General features: G+C 44.6%; 1 protein-coding gene across 4 annotated transcripts in view, besides 2 other annotated features; it reads left to right on the top strand.

Moving 5' to 3' along the window:
* The window catches only part of ITPR1 (inositol 1,4,5-trisphosphate receptor type 1), a 354,159-nt gene that overhangs the window by 280,312 nt on the left and 55,450 nt on the right, over positions 1-18,397 (top strand). For all 4 annotated transcript variants that reach the window (NM_001378452.1, NM_001099952.4, NM_001168272.2 and 1 more), the window contains 6 exon segments: positions 1,583-1,783; positions 3,605-3,715; positions 5,891-5,986; positions 8,960-9,082; positions 10,157-10,261; positions 14,288-14,480. In NM_001378452.1, the coding sequence (NP_001365381.1) occupies positions 1,583-1,783; positions 3,605-3,715; positions 5,891-5,986; positions 8,960-9,082; positions 10,157-10,261; positions 14,288-14,480 (829 nt within the window).
* Positions 2,985-3,054: an enhancer, noted in NCBI's record as "active region_19355". NCBI's record gives its function as "activates an Ori minimal core promoter by ATAC-STARR-seq in GM12878 lymphoblastoid cells {active_cell/tissue: GM12878}" and the evidence as "EXISTENCE:reporter gene assay evidence [ECO:0000049][PMID:35858748]".
* Positions 9,387-10,346: an enhancer, noted in NCBI's record as "H3K27ac hESC enhancer chr3:4824730-4825689 (GRCh37/hg19 assembly coordinates)". NCBI's record gives its function as "activates a minimal SCP1, AML or CMV promoter by ChIP-STARR-seq in primed H9 embryonic stem cells {active_cell/tissue: H9 hESC(primed)}" and the evidence as "EXISTENCE:reporter gene assay evidence [ECO:0000049][PMID:30033119]".

Genomic DNA, 18,397 nt, shown 5'->3' on the forward strand with positions numbered 1-18,397 from the left:
CACTCCTCCAGCGCCCCTGCACAGAGCAGGGCTGAGCCAACCCCTCAAACAGGTAGTATCTTCCCTGAGGAGCTGGAGCAAGGCAGAAATGGCTGTGAAATCCTCCTCTGGTTTCCCTTAGAGAAACAATCGAGCCCACACAGTCCCAAATCATCTGTTCTCCCTCCACCTCCCACCTGGACCTGAACTTGTTATGGAGCAAAAGGGATTTGGGTTAAGTTGTAGTGGGGAGAAAGGAGGTGGTTAGTTTGGTGATGAGTCAAGCACTGAACTTGGTTACCAGCTCTTAACCTGTGCATTTACAAATGTTTTAATTATACAAGGAATGTGTGGATATGTTCTTTTTATAAAGACCAAATGAAAATAAGTATTTAGTTACAAGAGTTGCCTCTCTTTCATCCATAGAGAATTGGTTGTTGATTTACACTGTATCCTCAAGTCCTTTTTCTATATATTGGAACGGGAACATTTGTTACATATTAATCTATATGCCTTTTTGAAAAAACTTGACAGTGTGTCATAGAGATCTTTCCATATTGGCACATAGGGATCTACTCGGTGTTTCTAATTTATAATATTAAATGATGTAGATATACTGTAATTTATTTACTCCTCAATTGGTGCGCAATTAGGTTGTTTCCAGTTCTTCACTGTCACAAGCAGTACTATAGTGGACATCCAATACATACTTTGTGAGTAGAAGTGAATACTTCATAGAAGTGGAAATTACTGGGTCAAAGATCATGTCCATTTAATCTTTTCCTATTGCCCATTTTTTTTACAGTAAGCATGTCGCTTTGGTAACTGAGGAAAAGAACATACATAATTAATTTTTGCTTCTTTTTAAGAACAGATGACTGGAGCCTCTGACAAAAATCTCCTCATTAAAATACTCTATTTCTCAAGTTGGGTGAATGTGGCTTTTTAAATTTTGTTGAGGAAGTGTCTTGCTCCTATCTGTGCCTCTTGTTTACATTTAGAACTCACCTGGAGAACACCTGCTCAGGCACATGCACACAAGCACACACACATTTACTCACTGTCACTCCTTCCTTTAATCGTGGAAATGGCCAAACAAGTAATCCAGGCTCCTGCCACATGGCACTGGGAGTAAGCCAGCTGATCACACCCCCATTTTATGGTGAACTGTCCCTAGTGCTGGGCTCCGGGCATTCAGCACTCAGATCAAACCATCATCTTTAAACAAAACCACCGCCCTTGGAAATGTCAGATGCCTCTGAACTCAACACCTGATGGAAGCTGGGGTGGGCAGGAGAGAGGAAGGGTTAAGAAGTGAATGGAGAAATGAGGACTCAAAAAGATTATAGGAGTCAACTGCACTGCATTCCATATACTTACACCTTGGAGAGCAGGTTGCATTGTTGAGGGCCATTGCCATACACCAAGTCCATGGGTTTATCATCATGGTGGTGGGGGGCATACTGACTCTTCCATGCTCTCCCACGTGGCATCTCTCTGTATAATTACCAACCTATTAGAGGCTATCAGAATGGCAGGATGAATAACGTTTCCCTCTTCCCTCTGCCTTTGCTCACCGAACCTGGGGACTACCCAATTGCAGAACTTCCTCCGTTGCCAAAATAACAAGACCAACTACAATTTGGTATGTGAGACCCTGCAGTTTCTGGACTGTATTTGTGGAAGCACAACTGGAGGCCTTGGTCTTCTGGGCTTGTATATAAATGAAAAGAATGTAGCGCTTATCAACCAAACCCTGGAAAGTCTGACCGAATACTGTCAAGGACCTTGCCATGAGAACCAGGTAATTAAATTTCTGTTTTGGGATGGGGAAAAAAAGTGTCCCATTTTGGAAATGTTGATAGAGACTAGTTCAGAAATCACGAAGCCTGTGCCTGTTGGCCTAGGGAGTCAGTAGGACAGGAGGCTGTCTTCCAGCAGTTGAGAAATAGCCATGGTGTTTCATGATACTTCAGAACCTTCCTAATGAAGGACATTGGAGGGACAGTCCATGGTCTCTTTCCTTGGCTAGGTTTGGCTTCATTTGATTTGGTTTGAATGTCCAACTATTTAACTTGATTTCTAGGAGTAGGCAATAAGGCAGGAGTGAAATGAGAACCAAAAGACAGTGACCTATTTTAAATACTAGGGGATTTCAAAGAGTGACTACTGGAAGGGGGTTTAAGCCTAGCTAGAGAGAAGAAAATTACTACACGTGAGACAGCTTGAAAGTAATATAAGGACATTTTTATAGTTGAGATTTAAACATCATGGACATTCAGGGGAAAGAAAGATGAGATAGTCTTGACTTTGGTCTCTCAAAGAAGAATATTTTGGGAGTACAACCCAATAACTTCTTGTCTTGAGTAGAGTCATTGCTTATACATGGCATCTTAAGGATTTTGTGAGTTTTTGCATTGTGCTAGGTTGAGTATGATGTTTTGTTTGTTTGTTTTTGGAGACGGAGTCTCACTCTGTTGCCCAGGCTGGAGTGCAGTGGTGCAATCTCGGCTCACTGCCTCCTGGATTCAAGCGATTCTTCTGCCTCAGCCTCCCTAGTAGCTGGGACTACAGGTGCATGCCATCATGCCTGGCTAATTTTTGTATTTTTTTAGTAGAGATGGGGTTTCACCATATTGGCCAGGCTGGTCTTGAACTTCTGACCTCGTGATCCACCCACCTCGGCTTGCCAAAGTGCTGGGATTACAGGCTTGAGCCACCGCGCCCAGCCAAGTATGTTTTTTAATACCAAATTATAGCTTCATCCTAACTGGAGAGAGACGACCAAGGCTTCAAATGGTCAGTGCTAAACCCAGCAGCCAGGGAAGGTTACTTGTGTGACTTGGGGAGCCAGGCCCTTCATTCAGAGGAGAACGGTTTATGAGAGACAACTCATTGTCTATTAAAAACCTGGTCTCAGTTGTCTGTGAATGTGAGAATAGCATTTTGTGAGATGCACTTTCTTCTCCCGGTTCCCTCATGAAGCAGATGGTGTAGTCCTAGTTAAAATGAAAAGGAACAAAAAAAATACAACAGGCTTGGGGAAAGGCTTTATTTGACATCTAAGTGAATTTCCTTATTACCTCAAGTTTGCTTCTCTGCCAAATAGGGGCCTGTTGAAAGGAACAGATCAGAGTGGATTGTGCTGCAAACGGAGATGTTACCTGGGGGCAGATGATTAATTTTGATATTGTGTGCCTTAAACAGGAAACTTGCTTTCCAAGCTTAAGCCTTAAGCTAAAGTACAAAATACAAAAAGAGTGCTTTAGAGAGAATGGAACACACCTTGAAAGGGGAAAAAGGGTTCAGAACCCAGAATCAGTCATACACCATATTTTCCCTTAAGAACAAAAGCCAACTGTGCTGCATGATTTGGATTAGACACAACCAATTTATCAGTTACAGTGCATGGGGACTTTCCTACTGTTTACTGTTAATTCTGAAACTAGAGATTTTCATCTGTCTTTTATTCTTACCACTTTCTCACGGAAAATTTGCAGCTCTCCCCTAGAGACATTACTGGGAGTGGTAAGCATTGTGTTGAAATAGCAGTTCAGCCTGTTGGCCTTTGACGTCTGATTTATGACCAGCGTTTGTGTGAATGTCTGTGTGTGTCTTTGCTCAGAACTGCATAGCCACCCATGAATCCAATGGCATTGACATCATCACAGCCCTGATCCTCAATGATATCAATCCTTTGGGAAAGAAGAGGATGGACCTTGTGTTAGAACTGAAGGCAAGTAGGAATTAAAAGCAGAAGACAGTCATTTGGAAACAGTCACTTTTGTGTTTTGCCTTGGCACATGCACATGGGCAATTAGTCATGAGAGTAAATATTAAAGATAGTTCTTTAAATGAATGACCCAGGTTGCTAGTGCTGACTACGATGCAGAACTCCAACCTTTCTCTTCCACGTAAGGTATCTCATGAGGGGATAGGAGCTTCTGAACTGTTAGGTCACACAGAATGAAGATTCCTTGCTCCAAGCTAAGAAGTGAATCCCAACAGCATCGAGTACTAAATACCTTGGTTCTGAAAGTCACAAAGAGAGAAACAGTGGAAACGCCATTCCCTCTCTGGTTTCTGATTTTTCCCCATTTGAGGGAAAAGGGCCGGTTGAAGAATAGTACAACTAAGCCTATCTAGGACCAAAAAAAAAAAACCCAAAAAAACAAACATGTATTTTTACTTAATCAAGGAAATACCTTTTTCTCTTTTGTCACTGATTTAGCAGAAGGGTGGTTAATAATGTTGGTTTAAAATAAGGAAAATTACACAAACCAAAAATGTGCCTGCGGGCCTCTGCTGAGTTTCTCTGTATTGTGTACAAATGCGGGACTGCAGGTGACTGATGTGGAAGCCCCACTGACATTTGGACTCTCTATTACTCAAACAGCTTAACGGAATGAAAATCGTGACTTCTAGGTGCTAAACCTGCAGCATTTCCAAGCTGGCCTTTTTTGGATATTTGAGAAATTGATATACCATTCCTGATGTTGACTTCTAAAGTATACCCAGAAAACCCTCCCTTCTATGTAGGGGTTCCATAGGTTCTCTGAGAATCCCATGATTCAGTTTTAACAATTGAGCTTGCAGGCATCAGGTTTCTAAAGTATATTTCAAAACATGTTAGCCTTTCTGGACACATTTCCTTTTTAACTGTTCCCATGTCAGGGCATGTTGAGATTTGTCCTCTATCTGCCCATCCGCAGCAGCGAGCACTTCATCATTATCATGAAAGAGCCTAGAACTACAGGGTTTTGGCTGAAAGGTTGAGCTGTATTTATTGCATGAAGGATGTCATAGGAAAGGTCATTAGGAAAGATGGGAACACAGAAACCTGTGGGAATGGCAGTTATTTTTTCTTTACTATTTAGAACTGAGAGTCCACACTAACAGTCGATTTGGGTGTGTGGTTTAAATGGACTTTTTTTCTGCTATTTTTAATTCCTTTTGACAAATTGTGTTTTAGAGTGAATTTTAACAGATTCAACCTTGTGTACCTGGCCACCATTTATCAGAAAGTCCGAAATAAACAGAAGTTCATGTGCTCCTGGTCAGCATTTGAGTGACTTTTTCAACTAATCCAGTGATCTATGGATGATGATAGAAATTTGTGCCCTGCGATAGCATGATACCCTGACTCAACTGCTGTGACCTAAACTAGGGGAAGAAATAAGACCACTCTCACTGTCCAAAAAAAGAAAAAAAACCCAACAGCTTTCAAGTCCTGTACATAAAGAAGCATACAAAGTATCATAGACCCAGGGCCTAAAATGAAGTCAAGCCAGGAAGTACAGGATGTGGGGTGTGAACATGGGTGTTTTTAATGTAATGGGAAATTAGGGCTTGGCCTGCATACATTGTTCCTTTGGGTCACATTTGTTAACTAGTGTCAGATGTACTCATTATATTAGGGGTTATGAGAGCTAATAGAAATATTTTAAGACAGGGAAGAATTACCTTTATTACCTGTCTTCTCTGGCCTGCAAGGCCAAATAACAGTTTGTAACCACACCTGCCCGGAAGGCAGCACAGATCTGTGTAGTAGCAGCTTCTTCCCAACCACTGTCACCATGAGGGTGACAGTGTATCCGTAAGCACCCACGTGTAAATTCCCAATTTCTTCTAGGACTTGTACCAGCTAACATTAGGGCATAACACACATGCCCTGACAAATATGTGCCTCTTTGTCCGAAATCAGATTCTGCACACGTATCTGGGGTCTGAAGGGGGATGCTCTCTGCCTGGTGCAGATGGATTTTGATGTCCTTAACCCAGAGCTTCCTCATGGGGTGAAATGTTCGTCTGTTTAGCCGGGATGCCTCCCATGTGCCAGTTGGCACCTGCATTCAGGCCGGGCCCCCAAGCAGCCCCTCTACATTTCCTCTCCCTTTGTTTCTCCAACTAGAACAATGCCTCGAAGTTGCTCCTGGCCATCATGGAAAGCAGGCACGACAGTGAAAACGCAGAGAGGATACTTTATAACATGAGGCCCAAGGAACTGGTGAGTCGGGTGACGGATCTGATGGTAGCACCAAGGAGCATTGCGACGATATTTGGGACAGAGCAGAGGATCTGCTTCCTGGAGCTTTCTTGAAGGTTCCCAAAGTCAGAAGTATAAAGGGAACATTGAATTCAGGCCTCTGACTGAGTAGAGAAGTGAAATATTTTGGTTGGTGCAAAAGTAATCGCGGTTTTTGCTATTACTTTCAATGGCAAAACCACTATTACTTTTGCCGTTGAAAGTAATGGCAAAAACCGCGATTACTTTTGCACCAACCTATATGACATTGAATACGTGCTGTTTTACCCTCTCCCTTTGGCATAAACCACATGGAGAAGCCTCCGTCTCTGTTTTTCCCTCATGGGGGACAGTGTGGTTACGGAACCTAGCAGACCTGAGTTCAAGTCCATAGCTCTGCCTGTTTTGCTGTGTTACCTTAGACTTCTCTGAGCTGCACTTTCCTGATCCATAAAAGGACAATAATAATAATATTCCCTAGTCCAGAGGGTTGCTTTGAAGACTAGATGAGAAGATTCATGTCAAGCCCTAGCACCATGCTCAGCACCTGATACACCCTTAATGAACGGAAGTTCCTTTTCCTTTTTCTTTCCTCGTTTGCTGCTGGTATTTGAGCCATATCTTTGTCCAGTGCTGAAGAATTCATGTCTCTTCTTGGTGCCAAGAGTCTGAGCTACAGAAATGTTTTTTGGTTGCTGACGTTTGGATTTTTTGTTTGTTTCATTTAAAGAAAACACGATCTGGTTTATTTTTGAGGGGTGATAGTCACAATTGGCTGTGACTTGCAGGTTGGGAGAGTGTTGCAGGCTGTGAGACGAGCAGCTTTCAGAGACGGTGACATGAGTTGAGGGCAGAGCTCTCTATTTGGACTCTTTTTCCACGCTAATAAACTGTAACTGACAGACTTAAATGAGGGCACCAAAACATTTCTGCCTCCTGGTGACCTGAATGTGCACTTGGGGGCCAGGCAAAAGTCCCTTTATGTATGCTTTTAAATAAAGTTAAGAGCAGCCCAGTTCTTTGATCTCTGAGGTCAGGGAGTAAGTTCTCAGCCCGAGATGGAAGGCCTCTCTGAGTTTACATAACAAGCTTATGTAACTGGGGATCACTGGGGAGGCGAGGTTTGTCATTCTTGAGCAGGGATGGAATGACTATGCAGGGACCCCATTCGGCTTCCCAGGAATCAAGAACATGCCCCAGCTCTCTGACCTATCTCAGGTGGGGAAAATGTCAACACCCAGTGAGGTGGCTGGCACCGGCTCTTGGGCAGCCCCCCGGTGGTTGGAGAACATCATTCTGGCTCATAGGAGGAGTCAGGCTTCCTGGAACAAACACTGTTCTAAGAATCCAAATAGAACACGTGTGTACATGCATGTGTGCGTACATACGTGTGTATGCTCCTGGCCTCAAATCGCATGTAACATGTTGTCTGCTCGATTTAGTATTTGAGAGAATTGGCAGGGAAACAAGCTCAGACAGTGAGGCTCTCTTGTCTCCACCGTTACTTCCAGGGCCTGACTTGGTGTCAGTGCTGACATACGTGGCCTTTGGTATTAGATAATGACAAATAATTCATGGGAATGGCCTCGTGGCAATGGGGGAGGCAGAAATGCCCACTGAATCTTCAAAGAAGATTATAATTTTTAGTACAAATTAGAGGTTGAAGGTATTTTCTTCTTCTTGAAATGATTCAATCATGAATGATGTGTTCATTTGATAAGTGTTGGCCACACCCTACATTGTCCTGGGCATTGCGGAGGGTCTTAGGGGAAGGATTCAGATATGAGCAGACCCAGTCCCCGCTCTCAAGAAACTGAGACAGAAACTTGAGGGAACAATCAGACAGGCACAGAAATGCTCTGAGAAATGTGCTCAAACCATGAGACAAGCCAAGTGTGTGGTCCTCCGGGAGCCGAGTCGTGCGGCTGTGAAGGGTAATAGGGCCAAGTTCACATCCCAGCTCACCACCTGTGACTTTAGGAATGTTCTTTTATCTCCTTGACTCTACTTCCTCATCCACTAACAAAATAAATAAGGAAACAGGTGCAGTGGCTCACACCTGTAATTGCAGCACTTTGGGAGGCTGAGGTGGGAGGAACACTGGAGTCCAGGAGTTCAAGACCAGCCTGGGCAACATAGTGAGACCTTGTGTTTACAAAAAAATAAAGCATTAGCCAGGCATGGTGGTGGACACCTGTAGTTCCAGCTACTTGGGAGGATAAGGCAGGAGGATCACTTGAGCCTGGGAGGTCAGGGCTATAGTGAGCCATGATTGTACCACTGCACTCCAGCCTGGGTGACAGAGCAAGACCCTGTCTCAAAAAAAGGAGGGGAATCTCTGATACCTTATAAATGTTTGTGAGCATTAAATTTTTTTGAAAGAATGTTAAACACCTAGACACAGTCCTTGGCACATAGTAAGTACTCAGTAGGTAATACTAGTTCGTGCTGTTATTTTCATTTGGAGTAGGCTGTTGGGGACTGGGAAAATTTTAAAAATGAAGAAATAGTTTCACCAGCTATTCCTAAATGTGAATAGACTTCTTATCAGGTTTTCCTGAAATGGTAAAGGGCTGGGAGTGGGAAATGTTGGTGGGAGGAAATGTTGAGATAGGAAAAGTCTGGCTTCTAGCCTACATTCATATCATATTTATTGTTTCAAGGTGCTTGAAAGCCATTGCTGCCTTCTAAAGAAGGACATTAACCAGCCACAGCATGTCTCTTGGTCTAAGTAGAGTGAATGAGTTTCATTTCTCACGACAGGAGAGGTGGATTGGTATTGATGGCCTGTGCCAGTGTCATGAAGGATTCTGAGGCTGTGTCCAAGCCCGATAGGAGAGAGTGCGGAACAGCCTTTTCCCTGGGAGGGGAGACAGCCAGTGTGCATGCTGTCCATCCAGTCCTGTGTGGGTCTTCCTTGAAACAGGATTTTTGTTCCCTTGGCTCTTCTTGCAGGTGGAAGTGATCAAGAAAGCCTACATGCAAGGTGAAGTGGAATTTGAGGATGGAGAAAACGGTGAGGATGGGGCGGCGTCCCCCAGGAACGTGGGGCACAACATCTACATATTAGCCCATCAGGTATGATCTCTCCTGTGCCTCCTCTGGATGCTGCCTCCCTACAGGTCCAAAATTCCGAGCTGGAGGGTGCCCCCAGTCTTGCTTTTCCTTTATGACTTTAACCTAGGACTGTCTGTACTCATGAGCCTGCGGCTCACAGGTGCTCGTGGCAACCTGACCCAGTGTGCAGAGTTCCAGGACGTTTCCATTTTTCCACAGTGATAGGGTCATGTAGTTGGAAATCCCCGTGTTTCTTAAAAGCATTCACCCCCAAGCAGTGATACTTGGATGGTTTATGACTCTGTCTGGAGACAGTTGAAAGGAGTCTTAGGCTTTTATAAATATTGATGAGCCTCTCTTAACAATCCAAAGAAATAAACTTCAGCTTCCTTGCATATTGCACTTGGAAATCTGTGGGAACTTGTCCTTATGACTTCCTTTTGTTTCCCTTTTTGGGGATACGGCAATACTTTATGCCCTGGCACCAAAATGCCATGTTTCATAATTCTCCTTCCAAGCGGCTGGGTTTTTGAAGAGCCTTTCTCTTTTTGGATGCCGACGTGCCTTGAGCTTTCGGTGGGTAGGGGCAGGCTGTAACCCTGCTGGAGCCTTGTGTTTCCTGTCCCGTCCACCTCTTTTAAACTCAGGTACGGGAACCAGATACACAACAATGATGATATTGGGCCCGAGGTTGGTGGGCCCCTGTTACCACCCACTGGTTAAAGAATTTCAAACAGTCTCCTGCCTCTTTTCCCTTCCATGACCACATCTGCCACCGAGAAGGTTTCTGAACATTCCGAATGGAGGCTCCCTAGGCTACACAGAAAGCCCCATCTCCCTCCTGCCTGGCTAATGACATCGGGGGAAAGTGGAACCATGTGTGGGCACGAGCTTTCCATGCTTTTCTACCAAGCTCCCAAAATAGCGCCTGTGCACAGCACGCCGTGATGGGATGGAGCAAGCCTCGTGGCACCTTTGCCCTTTGGCTTGCTGCTGGTTATTATGCATTTTTAAATACCCAACATGAGAAAGGAGTTTCTGTGTTCCTGTTGTGAAGAGACACCAACCTCCTGTATCTCTGTCCCTGTATTCTAGTTGGCTCGGCATAACAAAGAACTTCAGAGCATGCTGAAACCTGGTGGCCAAGTGGACGGAGATGAAGCCCTGGAGTTTTATGCCAAGCACACGGCGCAGATAGAGGTAAAAGCTGAGTAAACTCAGGGCATGGGGTTGTGTTGAGGCCATTAGTGTGCAATGCCCTGCTCTGGGGCTGGCGTGCATTCATTCATCTGAGCAATGGAAATGTGAGTGTGTACTGTGTGCTAGGTCCTGGGCTGGGTGCTGGACATCCCATGGCCAAGACAGTCATTATTGCTGCTTGTGGTCCGGTGGGGAAGAGGACACTGAGCAACCTCTCATTCCTCACGAATTCACGAGGACAGGTGGGAGGCATCATAAGAAAGTCCAGCAGAGGGACCTGCTGTAGATCGTGGTGGTCACAGAGGCCTAGTCTGAAGAAATTTCATCTGAACCCAGACCGTAAAGAACAGAGGGATGAAACAGGTAGAGACTAGCAAGAGGAACTTTTCAGACATGGGGAATAACAGCAAGCGAAAGCCCAGACGTGGGAAGATTCTAGGTGATCCGGAGGGGCTAAGCAAGGCTTCAAGGCTCAGGGCATAGAGTTCAGTGCAGAGGGAGATCCGAAGGGAAAGGCAGGCAGCCCTGATCTCACAGGGTCCTATCAACCATCCTTATGAGAAGTCTGGGCTGCATCCCCAGAGCAATGGGGAACCACTGGAGAGTTTTCCCCAAGAGGGCATTACAATCAGATCTGTGTTTTTTGTTTTTTTTTTTTTTTTAAAAAAGGTGTCATGTGGCTGGGCACAGTGGCTCATGCCTGTAATCCCAACACTTTGGGAGGCCGAGGCAGGTAGATCACTTGAGGTCAGGAGTTCAAGACCAGCCTGGCCAACATGGTGAAACCCCTTCTCCACTAAAAATACAAAAAAAAAAAAAAAAAAAAATTAGCCAGGCGTGGTGGCACACGCCTGTAATTCCAGCTACTTGGGAGGCTGAGGCACAAGAATGGCTTGAGCCTAGGAGGCGGGGATTGCAGTGGGCCAAGATCGCACCACTGCACTTCAGCCAGGGCGACAGAGCAAGCTGTCTCAAAAAAAAAAGAAAAAGTGTCATGATGCATTGTGAGTGTGGAGATGGCCATAATGTGAAAGGGGAGACTCCACCTAATCTAGGGAATGCTCAAATTACAGAAGCAGGTGCTGGGCAGCCATAAGTTAAAAAGAAGACAAGCTGAAGCCACACATGTTGGTGTTATATTGAAAATGTGACTTAAATTCTTTCAATAAAGCTTTACAATCTTCTCTGGGGGAAAGAAACAAACAAAAAAACAAAGCCTCTGCAAAGTCATTGGTGTATCTCCATTTTGCAAATGGGGAGCTGTGAAATAAGGCTCAGAGAGACTGTGTCACTTTTCCAGCCACCAGTGGCAGAGCTGGAATTTTCATCCTGATCTGTCTGGTCCCTGAGCCTGTGGGTCCGTTTGTACCTGCACTGTCTTTCAGAATCCAAGAGAACACAGACTTCTCTCTACAGGCTTTGAGCAGTAAGGAATGATGTGTTTTGCTAATGAGGAAATGCACAAGTTCAATATCAGTGTTGAAACAAAGATTTTAAAGAATGGACAGACTCCTTTGGGCAATATGAAATGTTCATGATGGAGACTTTTCAAGAATGTGTTCTGACCTGATGTCTCAGGTCTCTGGGCTATCCTAATAAAACACATCATTTCACTGATTAGCCAACCATGCCAGTGTATGTGAGCAAATATCTGATTTATCATTAATGCCTAGGAGCTTGACTGAAGGGCCAGCTCTGTCCTCTAGAGCCCTTAAAAGGCGAGCTTTAGATGTCTGTGATACAGAATTTCAGAGGAGAAAAGGACCTTGGAGATTATCTCATTGAGCTCCTTGACTCACTGGGGAGAAGACTGAAACTTGATCAGGTTTAAGAGGTGTGAACAAGGTCACCTAGCTTTTTAGGGATGTTAGAAGGACTGAAATATGTTCTCCTGACTCCAGATTCTAAAACTACTGAGGAAGAGTTACAAATAGATCTTAAATGGTAAAGAGAAGTGACCAGGCATGACCTAGCTCTCAAATCCTGCCCTTGGCCAGCCACCCAGCTCTTCAGGTTTCCCTAGGGAGTGATCGATGCAAAGCCAGGGACACTTTGTTACTACCAAGGGCTTTCCATGCAGACCCAATGTCTTCACTCTGGTGAACTAGGCTGGGTAGCCCTGGAGTCTAGAACTCAGTTCTTGCCAGGAGGCCTCCTTGTCTACTCCTCCTTTCCCTCCTGGACCCAGATGCACACCTCAGATCATCTTCCTTCAGTGGGAAGAAGCACTTGTCCATAGTCCACTTGACTATATGAAGCAGGCAGGCTCTTGATAGCAGGAGACGGCAGAGGTGATCCCTGACCCTTGCATACACCAAGATCATGGGGGAACTGCTTGTGTGCAGGTTCTGGTCACTGACCCCACACCACAATTCCAGTTAAATGGGGTTGAGTTATGGACAAGAATCAGTATGGTAACTAACCTGATCTCCACATGGATTTGGGAACCACTGGTCTAAAGACCACACCCCCCAGAACTTATGGAGGCAGGGCTGTGGGAACCTGTCTCACCTCTAAGAGAGTTTCCCACTACAGCTTGACCTGAGTCACCTCTCTTGCTGTATCAGGGAACAAAGGTTTTGGGAGAGCTAGAACCAGCTCTTCTTGTAGAGCACGTTGCATCCTGGGCCTCACCTGACTTCTCCAACCTCTGAGGAGGAAGAAGAGAGACTTGTGCCTCTACTATACTGTAACCCATAGCCCTTTCGAAATCACTACCTCCCAGGACTATGACACAATCAAGTGCGCTAGAATTTGAACAATCCAGCCAGAGTACCTCCTCTCTGGGGACTGAGCCAGTCTAGGAAGTGCATGGAGGAAACTTGCAAGGTGTCCACCCCTGGGGCCCAAACATACCCAGCATAAAGAACAGTGAGTGCTGCCCCAGAGTTAAATAGGCATGTTGGTTCATGTATTGTATGTTTTAGATCCTTTGACAAGGTAGGAGGTCACTGCAACTGGATATAACCAAAGATCTCTTTTTAAAGTTCCCATCTAGGAAAAATAACCCAATGTTACTATCTGAGAAAGTGCCTTAAGTGAGATTTATACCACTGCCTAGCAGTGTACTCTCCAACATGATAGTCACTAGCTATGTATGGCTATTTAAATACAATTAAATAAAATTAAATATTCTGCCTCTCAGTTGCACTAGCCACAGGTGTTAGTGATTGGGGCCACACGTGACTAGCGGCTGTCCTCGTGGATAGGACAGACACAGAACCATTCCATCATTACAGAAAGTTCTAGGGATAGCACCAGCCTCATGTGAATATGCACACAAAACACAGAGTGAATTGATCCAGATAAAAGTTGGTCACCTTAGAAATTAATGGGTTCACAGGGAGGTGGAGGTTGCAGTGAGCTGAGATCGCACCACCATACTCCAGCCTGGACAACAAAACGAGACTCCATCTCAAAAAAAAAAAAAAAAAAAAAAAAAGAATTCATGGGTTCATCATTGTCTTGGATTATATAAAAAAATTAAAATTAGGTCAGGCACAGTGGCTCACGCCTGTAATCCCAGCATTTTGGGAGGCTGAGGTGGGCAGACCACCTGGGCTCAGGAGTTTGAGACCAGCCTGGCCAACATAGTAAAACCCTGTCAATACTGGAGGAAAAAAAAAAAAAAGCCAGGCGTGAAGGTGCGTGCCTGTAATCCCAGCTACTCTGGAGGCTGAGGCAGGAGAATCACTTAAACCCAGGAGGCAGAGGTTGCAGTGAGCCAAGATCGCACCACTGCACTCTGTCCTGGGTGACAGAGCAAGACTCCTGACTCTGTCTCAAAAAAATAAAAATTAAAAATAAATAAATAAAGTTAATGGATCTGAAGTTAGGAAAATACTCTTCCAGAGTTACCCAAGCTATTTTTTATATAAATCTGAGACACACAGCCCAGTTTGGGGTTATAAAATCAGAGATCATATTATACTCAATCTTGACCACCGAGTCTACCACCAGTAGCAAATAGTCTTAGTAAAAGGTTTCAAAGATGAATATTTAATCTCATCCACTTTTTCATCCTAGATTGTCAGATTAGACCGAACAATGGAACAGATAGTCTTTCCCGTGCCCAGCATATGTGAATTCCTAACCAAGGAGTCAAAACTACGAATTTACTATACTACAGAGAGAGACGAACAAGGCAGCAAAATCAATGATTTCTTTCTGCGGTCTGAAGACCTCTTCAATGAAATGAATTGGCAGAAGAAACTGAGAGGTGGGTTCCAACGCATCAGCAACAACACAGAGAGACACAGTTCTGGGATTTCACAAACTTGGGCTTGATGGTGCGTTCATTTCCAAGCAGGAGCAAAGCTAGTATCATTTATGATACTTTGCACCTCTGACCACCAGGAAGTCATAACCAGTTTTGCAGCTGATCAGTGGGCTCAAGCCAAAGTATGATAACTCCCCTGAAAAGGCTTCCTTCATCAGAATTTGACTTGATTTGATTGGAAAGCTCCATGGAAGACTTTTTGAATGCCTCTTTTGATATCTCTATCTAGAAAATAAAAAGAAAAGGGAAAAGCCCAGGCCCTTGAGCTCACAGGGTGGTTCACTTGAGCAGGAAATTCACACTGCTTGCTGGCTCATTTACTAGCACACCTGCTCCAGAGACTCTGGTATTTTCCCTTTTATGGGGTAGCTTGGATTTTAGACTAAATCGTTTTACAGGCAATGGAATCATTTGCCACATAAGGTGCATCATTGCTCACCAGCGAGTCCCATTGAGTATCCCAGCCAGTCAGGTGGAAATTACTTGTCTGAAACACATTCGTAGGGCTTCCCCAGGGGGCTTCTGTGTTCCTGGTTTTCACTGGGGTTTTAATGTGATCCTTCAGTACCAGCCTTGTGCTTGGCACTGGCTGTTGAGACCAACTTAAAAAGGATCGTGCTTGATTTCTATCTGTTCATCAGGAGCCAGACTTTTTTATTTGAAACACTGGATTCCAGCTATAGTTGTGACGTGTTGAGCTCTTTCTGAGGGGTAGACCTGGGGTGGAGAACAGCCGTGTTGGAGGTCAGTTTCCCAGAGCTTTCGTCTTCTCCGTGATGCTGCCAATCTGAGCAGGCACGGACCAGTGCTGTCTGTTTTTTCTTCCCTTTTCTCCCTACCTGCCTGCATCCCTAGATCAGGCTAATGGCAGATAAGGTGGTGCAAGAAGGTTCGCCCAAAGGTCCCATTCCCACCTCACTTCCAGCCCCGCTGTACTCTTGCTCGTCTCTAAGGGGCACCTCCCTGTGCAGCACCTTCAAACATTACAAAAAGTCTGGCCAGGCCAAATCCATCCCTCAGCCAGCTCCATGTCTAGTGTCTGACCGAGGGGCCAGGGGACCATTAGCAGACCAGCCTCTGTGGCCTCCACGGTATGGACCTCAGGAGACACAGGTGCAATTCTACCTGGTATCAGAGTGTCCTCATAGCCTACTGTAGATTCCTCAAAGACTCTTGCAGCTCCAGGATCCTCATGAACATGGAAACTTTTGCAGAGCACCATGCTTGGGCAATAAGAGGGAAAAAGATACCCTGTACTCCAAAAGGGAGACATAGACCCCACCCATTTCATCCTCATTTTTCTAGCTATTATGTTACATAGGAGAAAACTTATCTGTTGCTTTTGTCCTTCACTGGGATATTCCATCATTCCAGCTTTAGGGAATAATCCTGAGGTGTTTTGTTTTTGTTTTTGTTTTTGTTTTTGTTTTTGTTTTTTGAGACAGAGTCTTGGTCTGTCGCCCAGGCTGGAGTGCAGTGGCGCGATCTCGGGTCACTGCAACCTCCACCTCCCGGGTTCAAGCGATTCCCCTGCCTTAGCCTCCTGAGTAGCTGAGATTACAGGCACATGCCACCATGGCTGGCTAATTTTTGTATTTGTAATAGAGATGGGGCTTCACCATGTTGGCCAGGAGGGTCTCAAACTCCTGACCTTGTGATCCATCCGCCTCAGCTTCCCAAAGTGCTGGGATTACAGGCATGAGCCACTGCGCCCAGCCAATCCTGAGTTCTTGTATCCAAACCTCCATGATAGTTAATAGGCTGTAATTTTAGCCTTATCAGAATATGTGTCTATGAAATTGGTCAGACACATACACTGATACATTCATTCTCTATAAATTGTTTTATGAAATGTTTATGTATAATGTATGTATTTTATAGGTTCTCCAAAAGGCTTATTTTGGAGATGACAAAAAGGTTTTCACCTTTTCTGGTGAGATGAGATATCTCCTTATCCCTTTTTTTGAGATAATGTCTCCAGCCTGGAATAGTAGGAGGACCCTCAGGCCCAAAGAGTGAGGAATCAGTTCTAGTCCATTTCTGCCCCCAACAGGCTCCATGGCCCTGGGACAAATGGCTTAACTGCTCCCAGACCCTCACCTGTGAAGTGAGGGATTAAGATGACCTAATTGATGGACTGTAGCATGGTCATTATGCCAAGACTTATATTATATTGTAGCTAATACCTTCCTTATTTCAGTCATTCTTTTTTTGAAAAACAGTTTTCATTTCAGTGAAACTTAAGCACAACTGCAGTTGTCAGCTGAAAGATTTTAATTGGCTTCAAAACTATCTGCTGGTAAGAGAGAAATTGAAAATAATAACTGAATTAACCATGATTTGCACACTTGGGGAGGGAGAAATGTACTCATCGGAAATACAATTAAAATGAAATGCATTTTCCCCTCTAAGTAGCTTATATCTCTTCTAATAAGTCTGCAGAATCAATTTTTCAGGCTCATTCATTTCGCTGTTTTACCTTTTCCTGAATGTATTGCAGAGGATCATCTGTTCTTCAGTAAATCTGCAGCTAGGACTCAGACACGTAGTGAGATCCGTCTGAGACTGATGGGGCTTAGTATTTTCTTCTGCAAGATTAAAATATGCAATTGCTCTGAGCTTCATAAACTCTCTTCTCTGCTTTATTTACTCTAGAACACACACATAGTCTTCTGTGCACTCACATCCTCTCTCTCACCATCCCTCCCTGATATCCTTTCCTGAAGATCCTATCCCCAGTGAAGTGAAAACTCTGGGCTAGGAAAATGAGAAGAGAGAGAAAGAAAGAGGAAATCGAGGCAGAGTTGAATGTGCTGACACTTTCTTGCATGAGGTTTTCCCATGTGATTATCCCACTCGTAAGTGTATATGGAGTCCAAGCCTTCCAGTAAAGTCCCGTTCCTCTCAAACAAACACAAACAAAAAACTAGGAAAGAATGTTACCAAGAGATGCCCTAGGCTGTGGTTATTTAAATTGCCTTGCCAATCCAGGATCACAGCACTCCTTCTTTTTGCTATAATGTAGCAGGTATATTGATCCAACCAACTTTTAGCCCCTGATAAGTAGAAAACGTGCTGTAAGGCAGCGGTCCCCAACCTTTAGGGCAGCAGAGACTGGTTTCATGGAAGACAATTTTCCACAGATCGGAGGGATGATTTGGGGATGAAACTGTCCCACCTCAGATCATCAAGCATTAGATTTTCTTACGGAGTGTGCAGCCTCCTAGATCCCTCACATGCACAGTTCACAATAGGGTTCACACTCCTGTGAGCATCTGATGCCCTTGCTGATGTGACAGAGGCAGAGCTTAGGTGGTAATGCTCGCTTGCTGCTCACCTTCTGCTGTGCTGCCCAGTTCATAACAGGCTATGGGCCAGAACTGGTCTGCGGCCCCAGGGTTGGGGACCCCTGCTATAAGGTACAGTGAGGAATTCAACAGTGTGTAAGCTATGACTCCTCCTGTGGGCACTTACTATCTGAAGTGGGCAGACAACAACGGCATATTTTTAAGTGGCTGCAATACCAAGCTGTTTGTGACTAGAGCTGTAATCAAGCATTGACGCATGGAAGTACAAGAAAGGAAGGCTTCAGAGAAAAGGTAGGATTTGAGTAGCATCTAGAAAGGTCTGTAGGACTTGAATAGACACAGCCTGAGAGATTGGGGGATGGGGAGATGTATTTGTTGCCCATTGCTGCTATAACAAATTACCACAAAGCTTGAAGCTTACAACAACATACGTTGATTATCTTACAGTTCTGGAGGTCAGAAGTCTGAAAAGATTCTCGCTGGGCTAATACCAACGTGTTGATAGGGCTGTGTTCCTTCTGAAGGCCATATCCTTTTCCAGCTGCTAGA

The sequence above is a fragment of the Homo sapiens genome, chromosome 3, assembly GCF_000001405.40.
Source record: "Homo sapiens chromosome 3, GRCh38.p14 Primary Assembly".
NCBI classification, from domain to species: domain Eukaryota; kingdom Metazoa; phylum Chordata; class Mammalia; order Primates; family Hominidae; genus Homo; species Homo sapiens.